This window comes from Homo sapiens, chromosome 1, assembly GCF_000001405.40.
Source record: "Homo sapiens chromosome 1, GRCh38.p14 Primary Assembly".
Taxonomy (NCBI): domain Eukaryota; kingdom Metazoa; phylum Chordata; class Mammalia; order Primates; family Hominidae; genus Homo; species Homo sapiens.
Genome location: NC_000001.11, coordinates 162,562,237 through 162,575,704, shown reverse-complemented (window position 1 = coordinate 162,575,704; position 13,468 = coordinate 162,562,237). Strand labels below are relative to the sequence as shown.

Genomic DNA, 13,468 nt, shown 5'->3' with positions numbered 1-13,468 from the left:
AAAAACATAAAACTACGAGACAGGCAGATCACATGAAGCCAGGAGTTCCAGACCACACCAGGCTGGCCAACATGGCGAAACTCCATCTCTACTAAAAATACAAAAATTAGCCAGGCATGGTGGTGCATGCCTGTAATCCCAGCTACTCAGGAGGCTGAGGCATGAGAATTGCTTGAACCTAGGAGGCAGAGGTTGCAGTGAGCTAAGACTGCACCACTGCACTCCAGCCTGGGTGACAGTAAAACTCTTTCTCAAAAACAAAACAAAATCAAAAGGTACAACTAATGCATTTTATTATATGTAAATATATATTAATTTATTAAAACGCCTTTTGTAGGCTGGGCACAGTGGCTCACGCCTGTAATCCCAGCACTTTGGAAGGCCAAGGCGGGAGGATTACCCGAGGTCAGGAGTTCAAGACCAGCCTGACCAACATGGCGAAATCCCATCTCTACTAAAAATACAAAAATTAGCCAGGCACGGTGGCAAGCACCTGTAATCCCAGCTACTCAGGAGGCTGAGGCAGGAGAATCACTTGAACCTGGGAGACGGAGGCTGCAGTGAGCTGAGATCGTGCCACTGCACCCTAGCCTGGGCAACACAGCGGGACTCTGTCTCAAAAATAAATAAATAAATAAAATGCCTTTTTAAAAAATGGGCCATCTATACCAGCTAAGAAGAATGTAAGACTCAGACTATCTTCATTACTGATTTATTTCTTTGGTCTGGAAGCCTGTCAATTTTTGCCAGTTGAATATTCAGCAATAAATAGTCATCAAGCATAATGTTTGAATAAAAATGTTATTCTTCAAACCAAAATAAATTCAAGATGATTTGAGATCCAAATGCAAATAAATGTAACTATAAAAGCTACAAAAGAGCTCTCAGTCTGAATTAAAAAAAAAAAAATCTTGCCATAATCCATTCCTAAGACCCATCTTATTATTCAAAAGTGGACAGTCTCAGTACCATAAGGCAGAGTAGCTTGTGAGAAGAGGCTATGTGGAAATTGGGTCTCTGGCAAGCTAGAAAAACTATAAAATTAAAACCATGGTAAACAGTTTCGTTCTTGTTTTCTGAGTTTCATACTTTCATTAGAATTCTTAGAAATTCTGTGAACAAACCTGGCCACTGGCCACAATTATAGGCTAAGCCAGACGACGCAGTCAGTGATGGCAACTATCAATTATTTTAAAATCCTTAGGTAATGTGGGTTTATTTCATTTACCAACTTTGTGCTTTGTTTTTGACATATTGGGTTTTCTTAAAGCTAATACACTAGTAGGTCAACAACATAAAGAAAAATAAACCCGGCCAGGTGCAGTGGCTCACACCTGTAATCTCAACACTTTGGAAGGCCAAGGTGGGTAAATCACCTGAGGTCAGGAGTTCAAGACCAGCCTGGCCAACATGGTGAAACCCCGTCTCTACTGAAAATACAAAAATTAGCTGGGTGTGGTGGTGCATGCCTGTAATCCCAGCTGCTCAGGAGGCTGAGGCAGATGAACTGCTTGAACCCAGGAGGCGGAGGCTGCAGTGAGCTGAGATCGTGCCACTGCATTCCAGCTTGGGCAACAAAGTGAGACTCCGTCTCAAAAAAAAAAAAAAAAAGAAAAGAAAAGAAAAAAATAACTCCATTATAAATTTAGAGCCAGTTCTGACTCTATTTTTCCTTTATTAGTAAGTATAGTCCAAGAACATTATTCAGCAATCATTCCAGCTATTTCTTCTTTTTTTTTTTGAGACAGAGTCTCACACTGTCACCCAGGCTGGAGTGCAGTGGCACAACCTTGGCTTACTGCAACCTCTGCCTCCTGGGTTCGAGTGATCCTCCCACCCCAGCCTCCTATGCAGCTGAGACTACAGGTGCACACCAGCGCACTTAGCTAATTTTTGTATTTTTAGTAGACAGGGGTCTCACCATGTTGCCCAGGCTGGTCTCGAACTCCTGGGCTCAAGTGATCTGCCCACCTCAGCCTCCCAAAGTGCTGGGATTACAGATATGAGCCACCCTGCCCAGCCTATTCCTGCTATTTTTTCAATTTAAAAACCCAACAGCACATTATGTATTTTCATAATTTTCACCTTTGATATGAAGCTGACCTTAGCTACCTGAGAGTTAAATCTTCTTTCTTCCTTCCCTAAAACCAGAATTGTCCTCATTAACTCCATAGCATTTAATTGTACCTCATCAGAGTTTGAAAATAAGAACATAAAATCAGGTGTACCAAAATAGAACCCAAAATAGTAACTATAATCTAAGAGGCAGTTACTGTGTAATTTTCACCACTTTAGAGATAATGAACTCAGAGAAGTTAAGAGTCTCGCCCAGGGTCACATAGCTAGTAAATGTGAATCAGGATTAGGACCTGACTCCAGGGCCTCTTCACCACCACACCACCCTGCCACCAGAGGTTGTGCTGCCTTTTTTTTTTAGTCTGTCTTACCCACCATCCTAAATGAAAAAACTGTTGAGCAAGAAGAGCCAACATTCTCCAAAACTTCCCAAACACTGAAATTTTTAACAGCCATTCTGAGTTTGTATGTGCCTTAAGCAAGACCCATAAACCACTATATAACAAAAACTGAGATGAAGAAATTTAAAGGGAACAGGGAACCTTTCAAGACATTTGAAAACTGTTTTATATTTGGTTATTCCCTGAATTATATCAAATAAACTATGGTTTCTAGAAAATAAATTTAATTCTGCTGTCACCTACAAAGCATTGTTTTAAAATATGAGTCCACAATCTCTTACCTAAACCCATGGGTCAGATTTGTTTCAGAACGCAGAACTCTTCAAAATTTATAAAAGGACTATAGTACATATATAAAATGCTATATTATAATTATATATGTCCCCAGCAGATATGAAACAGCACCCTATAATCACATTAAGTGGGATAAATAAAGTTGACAAATAGTCATGTCTATTCAGGTCAGGTTTTGTACCATTTTCGAAATGCAGATAAAGAACTCCTGTCTGGACACTTGCATACCATCAAAGGTGTTATAATAAAAAATATTTCTGAACATCTTCAAAAGAAGTGCCAAATACCTACATTTTGGACACAGAGATCTCTGTTCTTTTTATACAGTACATTTTCTTCATATGGCACATGTGTTTTAAGTTGTTTTACTCTTAACATGGTGCCAACCTTCTTCCTGACTTCTTACTTTCACTCTCAGTCCCAGGAAAGTTATTTCCCTCAGCTAACTGACCTGAAAAAGGTAAAAGCTACACTCCCAGAGCCAGCTCCATGTCTCAGCTCCTGCTCACCTGATGGCATTCAACATCAATTCAGTGCTTTCTATAGGTCTAACCAGGTATGAAAATAGCCCTGTATAAACTTTTCTCTTCCTTAGATGGGTTCCCTAAATTACTGCTTCATTCCTACTCTCCAGTTGTTTCACATTTAAAGTTTTGCTAACCAGCAGCTCACAGTGGCCTCATTCTTTATTCAGATAAATGGCATGTGTTTGTTTCCTAAACTCCTGTTCGCTCTTTAGTGCTTCTTTCCATCTCCGAACCTGATAACCAGTCAAGTCACCAATTAACAGTGGCACTGAGATGATGCCAATCAGATGTACACTACCAGGTAGATATCCATTTACATCTCATCTCTATTTAACCACAACTATTATAATGAATTATAACACAATCCACATATATTTGCAATAAAAAGGCTTTTCATTAACTTCTTCCTGTTTACACATCTCACTTATGAGCAAACAGTGAAAAACAAGAGAAAAGGCAGCAGTTCCTGGAGAATCAAGGCCAGCTGTAATTCACAAATGAAATGCAGCTACAGCTATTGTTCACAGTATCAAATTGTGTGTACACTGGCTGAAGTACTCAGTACTCATCTACTTCAGCTGTTACTACGATAAAGTTGCAATGTTTATCAAAAGTATGTAACACATAAATTAGTATCTGTCTTATGATGACAGATAAAATGCTGTTTTGAATTAAGTGGCCCAATAAAATTCAATAAGCTTTTTGGGACTGCTTTTGTCATAACATAAATTTTATATGGGCAGCACAGCACCTACCTGAAAAATGTTAACTAAATATAAATGTATTTAAACCCATGTGACAATTAGGAAATTATAAATTTCTATCCTAAAGCTACCTCTGCAGAAATACTGAAAAACACTGAAAAGTTCAACACTGTATCACCCTTTCTATCTCTCCATGATAAGACATAAGGGTTAATAATTTTCCTACACAAGGGAACTCAACACAGGCAAAACTGAAATTGAAATTTTAAAAAGCGGCCAGGTGCAGTGGCTCACACCTGTAATTCCAGCACTTGGGAGGCCAAGGCAGGCAAATCACTTGAGGTCAGGAGTTCAAGACCAGCCGGGCCAACATGTTGAAACCCCCGTCTCTACTAAAAATACAAAAATTGGCTGGGTGTGGTGGCAGGCGCCTATAATCTCAGCTACTGGGGAGGCTGAGACAGGAGAATGGCTTGAACCTGGGAGGCAGAGGTTGCAGTGAGCCGAGATCATGCCATTGCACTCCAGCCTGGGCAACGGAGTGAGACTCCGCCTCAAAAAACAAACAAACAAACAAAAAAATCAGAAGTTAGAAAAAAAAAAAAAAAAAGAAAGCCAGACTGACACATTTCTAGGGCTGGAGTATCTCTCTCCTTGGAGAGTCATGCATTGTGGGCCCAAGAGAATCTAAGCACTTTTTCTGATAACATTCACAAGAAACAGAGAGAAAAGTTTACAGTGGCCTGTCAGAGGTCAAATGCTTCCTGGATAACTTCCTACTTAGACTAGTTCCTCCTATACACTTTAACAAGGAAGATAGCACAGGTCCTTTTGAAGTAAAGCACTGTCAGAACTTTCATTTAAATTATCAGAACTCCAGGATGAGTGGAGTTGGGTAAACAGGCTACTCAACTGGTAGGAATAAAGGAAAGCTATCCAAGAAAGTTAGAGAGAATAATTTAAGTCTTTAATTTTTAATCACGTTATAGCTGAAAGAAACTACAATATTTCCCCAAAATAGTAAGCACAAAAAGCAGACTAATCAGGAAAATCTCTATCTGAACCAGTTTTTGATAGCAGAGATTACATTAGATGAATTTCATTAGGTATAATAATGGCATGTGATTAGTAAGAAAACACCCATATATTTAGACATAGATACCAAACTATATGAGGATAAAAATAACATGATGTTTGGGATTTGCCTTAAAATACTGCAGCAAAGGGGAAAAAAAAGAGGGAGAGAGAAAGCAAAAGGAGCAAAACTTTCATAATTTTTAATCAAGGGGGCTTATGTGGGGGTTCACTATACTAAATTTGCCACTAAATATTTGTTTCAAAATATCCTTGACATTTTTCATGATAAATTCTTGTGCAGGCTACAAAACTATACACAATCCCAATATATGCATATGTGTGTGTGTGAAAGAAAAGACTGTAAAATATTACTAGTGAGTATCTCTGTATGGTGGAATCAGAGAGATTAGTATTTTTTCCTTTGTAATTTTTAGTATTTTCCAATTTCTCTAAAATAAGTATTTTTTTTTTTTTTTTGAGACGGAGTCTCGCTCTGTCAACCAGGCTGGAGTACAGTGGCACGATCTTGGCTCACTGCAAGCTCCGCCTCCTGGGTTTACACCATCCTCCTGCCTCAGCCTCCCGAGTAGCTGGGACTACAAGCACCTGCCACCACACCTGGCTAATTTTTTGTATTTTTAGTACAGACGGGGTTTCATCGTGTTAGCCAGGATGGTCTCGATCTCCTGACCTCATGATCCTCCTGCCTTGGCCTCCCAAAGTGCTGGGATTACAGGCATGAGCCACCATGCCCGGCTGTATTACTTTTAAAATAAAACAAATCTATTAAAAACATCAGTACCCTAGATTTCAAAAAATGTAGAGGAGATAATGTTAAGAATGCATTTCTTCTAAATAATCCACTTACTTTACTATAGTGCTATATGGTAGAGAAGCACCATTATGATTAATAGGAAAATGTCTCATAGGCAAAAAAAGCTAAGACTGAATACTAATTAGATATTGTAATATAAAATTGGTAGATCTGTGTTCAAATAAGCATGCATTTGTTTTAATAAAGAATGGGAATTTTTATCAAGCAAACAGGTTTTCCCAGTGTATCTTTACTAATACAGCATTCTCAAAGCTTATAATTACTTCTCTTTCAAGATCTCAGCTTTGTAAAATAAAGATTTTCTAGTTGCTCCTTTACATTCCATTTTCTACAACTGCCCAGAAAACTTCAAGAAATAAAGCAAGATCTCTCTTCAACAAGGAGTACAGTGGTCACTTATATTCGACCTTCAGAAATAAATAATTTTCCACTCCAGTTGTAAAAATGTCCATTATCATCTGAATAACCACCAGATACTTTGCAATTACTGGACAATGCTTTCATTCCCCCATTCTGAGGAGGTGGGGGTGTGGGGAAGTAAAAACTGTCCCTGATACAATTACCAGGATCTTCCTACTACCTGAAATACAATGCCATGATCTTCACAATGGCTTCTCTTCGCTTTGATAACTTACTGCAGAAACTTCATTTTGTTATGAATTTGCAGACACACGGTAGTTTCTGGCTAAGTGAAAAGGATATAATGTCAACATAAAGTCTCCTTCTCCACCCTTACTGTTTAAGCTACAGATAAATATCTTTCCTTTGACACTAAGCCAAAAGGAAGTTTGCACCGTGTTATGCTATACTTGGTTCTAATAGTTCCGGATTTTAGTTTACATGAAAAGTCATAAATGTAGACTAGCTCCACATAGTCCAACAAAAAGGACATAAAGAAGACTCAAATTATAGGATACCTTAATTGTGGCTTATGTTCCCCAACAAGGTCAAAGTGTTGACTTTCCATAAGAGTTACTACTAAGACTTCATCCCCTTAAAATCCCCAGGAAAAATATAGGCAACTGGGATACTAGAGGGTAAAGAAAGGCCTGTGTGGCTTTTGGTTTGGAATAGTAGCCTTTTTGAAACCCAGGGAAGAAGGGAAGGATTAGTGAATCCAAAGTAATAGAAGTCATGGTATCAAACTCTTCATTCACAAGGACATACCTAGGCATCATTCTCTCACATCTTAGTGGCAGAGCCCTATCCTAAGTAAAAAGCTAGGTTAGCTACTACCAAGCATTTTACATCTGAAAAGCACCTCCTTGAAGAAGATCCAATTATTTTCAAACTGTTTTTAAACTTCTAAACTCTTTTAAATAAAACCTCATGTAAAGATCAAACACACAGAACAGAAAAAGGCAGAACTACTCATAGTAGAGGATAAAGGGGTTGGAGACCTACCAGTTTAGTATCTGCTCCCTCCCTCCCTATAAGAGGCAGCTTCCCCAACAGTGAAAACCCTTGGGTTCTTTGGAACACCCTTTGAAAATCAGTAAATTTGTCAGCCTGGAGAAAGACAGAGAGAGGTATACAGCAGGTTGATAATGCCAGTAATCTTTCTTTTTACAGGGGGTAAGGGGATGCCAAAGAGTGGAAAACAAAATAAAAATAGCCATGTTGTAAATATAGACTATAAGATTGTATGTATAGTATTACTACACATCTATGAAATCAAATATATATACAATCTGCCCGGGCACGGTGGCTCATACCTGTAATCGCAGTACTTGGAGAAGCCCAGGTGGGCGGATCACTTGAGGTCAGGAGTTCGAGACCAGTCTGGCCAACATGGTGAAACCCCATCTCTACTAAAAATACCAAAAACTTAGCCGGGCATGGTGGTACGAACCTGTAATCCCAGCTACTCGGGAAGCTGAGGCAGGAGTATTGCTTAAGCCTAAGAGGCGAAGTTGCAGTGAGTGAGGATCACACCACTGCACTCCAGCCTGGGCAACAAAGCGAGGCTGTCTCAAAAAAAACCACAAAGAAACAAAAAAATATGTACACAATCAAGTACTGGGTGGTAATGTGAGCAAATAAAAATATAGCTTTGATGAGATTATGGGCAATCTGTTATTTCAATATTATTTTTGCAATAAAATAATGTCTTAAAAAGCTAAGGAAAGTATTTGCCCAAGTTCTCATTCACAGTTGAGAAAATGAGGCCCAGATTTGACAAGGATCACGTACCAACACTGAGGGAATCAGCTACAATATTTAGTCAACATTTTACTTACAGAGGAGTAATAGATTATAAAAAACACAGCTTTCAACTCCACCAAAAGCTACAGTTGAGCTATTTTGCCATTCTCAAAAGCACAAATTAGTATTAGGTTAAGGGGAAAGATTTTTTTACATGCTTTAGAATGAAAAGCATTGGGGCAATTCAACAAACACTTATTGATCAACTTATAACTATAAAACTCTTGTTCTAAATGCTACGTAACATGCAGAGACAACTAGTACATGGGCTGTTCTTCAAGAATTTACAATTTATTGAGGAAGAACTCTTATGATAAGCTAGAATGAAATAAAAGCATGAACAACTAATTCTAACTTGGGACACAAAAGAAAAGGTCATAGATAAAATATTATGTGTGGTAAACCTTAATGAATGAGTGTAAGTTCCCCAACTGGCAGAACTACTGCACTGCACAACTGCAAGAAATGACCTTACAAGGTGACCTAGCTAGGTAGAGAAAGGGCAAAGGGCACATCAAGCTAAGGATAAACATGAGCAAAAGCAGGGAAGGCATGGTATCATGTTCAGGGAAAGGTGAATTATTTGGTTCAGCTAAAATGTTGATTGGAAATATGGGTTAGGATCAGGTTAGGGCAGGTTTAAAGATTAAGCCAGCTGGGCTGGGTGCAGTGGCTCACACCTGTAACCCCAACACTTTGGGAGGCCAAGGCAGGCGAAATCACTTGAGGTCAGGAGTTCAAGACCATGCTGGCCAACATGGCGAAACCCTATCTATACTAAAAATACAAAAATTAGCCAGGCGTGGTAGTGCATGCCTATAATCCCAGCTACTTGGGAGGCTGAGGCAGGAGAATCACTTGAGCCCAGGAGGTGGAGGTTGCAGTAAGCAGAGATCGCCCCACTGCACTCCAGCCTGGGCAACAGAGTGAGACTCTGTCTTAAAAAAAAAAAAAATTAAGCCAGCTTAAACTTAAGTATTTAACTTGTGCTTCAGGAAAAGAAATCTAGCAGAAGTATGGAAATTGAGGAGGGAAAGAGACTGGAGGCAAATTAAGACTTGAATGAGAGAAGCCTTAAATGGAGCATCAAAAATAAAAAGACAATTTTGTCACTTTCTGCTAGGTCACCTGGTTTAATGTAGTATGAATCAAAATATTAGTGACATGATCCAGCTACCTGAACAATTTTAGTATATCTCAAATAAACTTCAGTAAGAAATATGTACATGCCCAGTACCTTCACTTTCCCAGGCCTGGAGCTGATCTTGATCCCTTGTAGCACTGCCTAATACCTCTCGAGGCACAGGTTCCATTCGTGCATCCACATTCTTTTGGTGAGAAGACTGGTTAAAACCTTCAATGGCCTTTTGGAAAAAGAAGTTCAGCTCCTCAAAGTTCATGGCCTGGAGCTCTGCATAAAGTTCTACCTGTTGGGCTTCTTCAAGCTCATTCCAGAAACGTAGTAGGTGCTCTTGCCCAGCTTTGGACAACGTGAGTTTGAGGTCATTAATGTTCATAATGCTCTAATAGCCAAGCTTTGTAGAAATAGGGGTGTAATGTATGTACCTGTAAACCTAAAAGAGAAAAGTAATTAATGGCATGTCAAAATCCAACCTCCAAAATTGAGGGCTTTTTTCCCCTCTAAAAATAAGAATATTTCAAAACGATGTTAAAAAAATTAACTTCTGCTTTTCCATCACTCAATATTTGTAAGAGATCAAACCTGTAAGACAATAATATGTACCAGGCACTTCTAAGTACTTTACCTTCATGGTCTTGTTTAATTTTCAACAACACTATGGCATAGGCACTATTATTACCACTCTTTTACAGCTGAGAAGACAGGCAGAGAGGCTAAGTAACCTAACCAGTGAGTGGAGCTGGGACAGGAACCCAGGCAGCCTGATGACATGGTTCACACTCTCTACCACACTTAGTTGTCTCTGTATTAGTCCTCTGACCACTAAGCTACCACTGAAAGAACACCTGACTGCTTAATATTTAAATGTTTTCCTTGTATCTCTAATGATAGAAATACTATCATGTGTTGTTGTAGTCAGTATAATGAAATATTCAGGAAGACAGAACAACCTATAATAAGGAAAAATACATTTCATTTCATTAGCAACTTCTGCAAAGAAGCAATAACACATCTATTTTCTCTACTCATTAAAAACTTGGATCCTCCTTAAAGAGACAAGCAATACACATATAACAATCAGTGAATAAGACAAATGTTTTCTAAAGAGCTATATTCTGTGATAATATAGTAAAATGTTAAACTTCATAGTGCTAAAAAATAAGAAAATGGGGAAATATTTAATCTACTTGCCCAATACAGACAAATGCAACAGGAGATAGGTGCTGTCTAGAAAGTTCACAAACAGGCACAATCTAGCCATGTGTTAAGGGTTGGGCAGACTACATAGATAAGATTAGAGGCCAGGCATGGTAGCTCACACCTGTAATCCCAGCACAGGCCTGGGCTCAGGAGTTCAAGACCAACCTGGGCAACATGGCAAAACCCCACCCCTACAAAAAACACAAAAATTAGCCAGATGTGGTAACATATGCCTGTAGTCCCAGCTACTTGGAAGGCTGAGGTGGGAGGAACACCTGAATTCGGAAGGTCGAGGCTACAATGAGGCGTAATCATGTCACTCCAGCCTCAGCAACAGGAAATTCTATCTCAAAAAAATAAAAGATTAGGAAACAAGCAGAGCCTGGTGGCCATGATGAGCAAGCACGTGTGGGATGGAAAGCAGTAAGAAGGTTAACGTATGACAAATGATATAAAATGGCCTGGGGTAGGGCTAGATCATGAAAAGCCTGAAAACTAACCAAAAGAATTTAGACTTCAGAGAATAAGTAATAGAAAGCGAACAGTAGATTCTCAAACAGGGCAGTGTTACCATGCTTTAAAGAGATGAGAGAAAGGAGCAATGGATACAATAGATTGTAAGGAGGGACAACTAGAAGCAGGAAAAGAAGTTAAAAGACAACTGCAGGTATGAAATACCAAAGGTCTGAACCAGATTAGTGGCAGAGAAAATGAGAGTGAAAGGAATAAATTTGAGGGTCACTGTAAAGAATCATCACTGCATTATAATTGCTTCGATGTGAGAGACAGAGGTTAAAAGTAGGTTCTAAAGACACTTATCTTCTCTTCCTATAAGAACAGTGAAAAGTAATACACATGGTAGTTCAGAGCACAATTCTAGGCTAAGCTGAGCCACTTAATTTCCCCATGCCTCGGTTACCTTATCTGTAAAATGAGATTAATAATAGTATCTACCTCACCAGGATCATTAAACATCAAACTCCATTTACAAGCTCAGGTCTAGAGAACCTACATCTGTGTGTTCCCTGAGGTGGTAATAACAACACTCAGCTTTCAATGTTCATTATGGTATTAAAAGGCATTCCTATTGATTTATATAGGTTTCAAGAGTCATGATGCTATTATTTTTTAATTTTAAAAAATCACATTAAAAAAGACACTTGAGAGGAACAGATTTATATTAAATTATTTTCCAAGGAATGTAGTCTTTCCCAAGACCTTATTTATGCTGCTGCTTTGCCTCTGATTTAAGGGAGTACATTGTAGTAGGAAGATCAGCAAGGAACCAGATAACCAAAGAATAGGAAGTCCCTGTTCTTGGTCCTTCTCTATCATTTGATTCTATGCAATCATTTTACCTCCCTGTGCATAGATTTCCTCATGAATATAAGACAACCAACCTTTCTCACATGCCTTCAAGATAGTCAAGAGTAAAGAGTGCTCTGTCTGATAAAAGGCATACACAAACATATTACTATAACATTTTAAGATATAAACCAAACTTTTCCTAAAAGATCATTAGATACTCCTCCACCTTCAGACACTTGGGAAAATGAATCCATGCAAATAAGATACCTCATAGGGCCGGGCGCGGTGGCTCACGCCTGTAATTCCAGTACTTTGGGAGGCCGAGGCGGGCGGATCATGAGGTCAAGAGATGGAGACCATTCTGGCCAACATGGTGAAACCCCATCTCCACTAAAAATACAAAAATTAGCTGGGCATGGTGGCACGCGCCTGTAGTCCCAGCTACTCAGGAGGCTGAGGCAGGAGAATCGCCTGAACCGGGGAGGCGGAGGTTGTAGTAAGCCGACATCACGCCACTGAACTCCAGCCTGGCGACAGAGTGAGACTCTCCGTCTCAAAAAATAAAAATAAAAAAAAAAAGGGTACCTCATAGGTTAAACTTTGATATCTGGGCGTAAACCACTGGTAACATGTGTTCATCTACATGTTGTATAATGTTCATAATGTAACGACCATACTTGAGTTTTGGACAAGCACAATTCATCTATTATATTTATTTGAGGCAGATATAAGCACCTTCATGCCACAAAAATAGTAGCATGTTTCCCATTAACGATGTTTAGAGGCACGTGTAATGGTAAGCAGCAATTAACAGAAGAGTTAAAAGATATGGATTTTTATTTTGACAACCGAAATCTGAAAAAGTTGAAAATCTGCTCGAGAAATTATGACAAAACTTGGTACATGCCCACAGCCTAATCCATCTGCATCAAAATATATGAAAAATTTGGTAATAATCTACCATTATCAAATATATTTTTATTAGAATTTAAATACCAGTATTAAAGAAATCCAGTATTTCTCCCTCCTTTTCTGGCTTCCCCCACCCAGCCCCTATCTCTGCTGGTATACGTATGCCCTCGAAATGAATAAGTAAACCTCTTAAAGCTTTTGAAAAACAGTATCAGAGTTGAGACATAACCACCAACTGAATCCTATAAATGCTTGGCAGCACAGCCTATGAAGTCTTTCTTTGCTCCAGCTAAGTGAGCCAACTGACTAACCGTGAAGGAATAGACAACTGCCTTGAGTTTCCGGCGAACTCTTGGATCCACACCCAGTGAATTTCACCTAAAAGTCCTTAAACTTTTGCAATACCAAATGACACACACATATGATCATAATCCTATTACCTGATTTCAGATTTCATAAACCATGTAGAAGTAAGTGTAGCACAGCGACAGGCCAAAGTTCAAGCAGCCATATGTTCAGCATACGTGTGCTCAGCCCTCCAATACCATCCTTCTGCTTGGCCAAGAGAGGGGAAACCCAGAAATTTCAATTCTCTCTCACTACCAGTATCATGGCAAACCAAACCAAAAAAAAGAAAGAAAAAAGTGGCAAGCAAACAGGTTTTGTCCCACTGTCCTGTCCTCCAAATGTATCCCCTGTCTTTGTCAGACCTCTCAAATCTTTTCCTCATATATTCAAGACACACCAACTCGCTTCCACCTGACAGTGCCAACGATCTCCTGTCCCAC

General features: G+C 39.2%; 1 protein-coding gene across 17 annotated transcripts in view, besides 1 other annotated feature; it reads right to left on the bottom strand.

Annotated features, from left to right (window-relative positions):
* UAP1 (UDP-N-acetylglucosamine pyrophosphorylase 1) overlaps positions 1-13,468 on the bottom strand; it is a 39,710-nt gene that overhangs the window by 25,536 nt on the left and 706 nt on the right. For 7 of the 17 annotated variants that reach the window (NM_001324117.3, NM_003115.6, NM_001399792.1 and 4 more), the window contains exon 2: positions 9,357-9,693. The exons of 1 other annotated variant lie outside the window; for it this stretch is intronic. In NM_001324117.3, coding sequence (NP_001311046.1) covers positions 9,357-9,636 — 280 coding nt within the window. In that variant the 5' untranslated portion in view covers positions 9,637-9,693. Of the gene's footprint in view, positions 1-7,318; positions 7,424-9,356; positions 9,694-13,120; positions 13,280-13,468 lie in introns of all 17 variants that reach the window. 9 more of the 17 variants (XM_047428845.1, NM_001388401.1, NM_001324115.3 and 6 more) reach the window with 4 other exon arrangements.
* Positions 9,942-10,001: a silencer, noted in NCBI's record as "silent region_1494". NCBI's record gives its function as "represses an Ori minimal core promoter by ATAC-STARR-seq in GM12878 lymphoblastoid cells {active_cell/tissue: GM12878}" and the evidence as "EXISTENCE:reporter gene assay evidence [ECO:0000049][PMID:35858748]".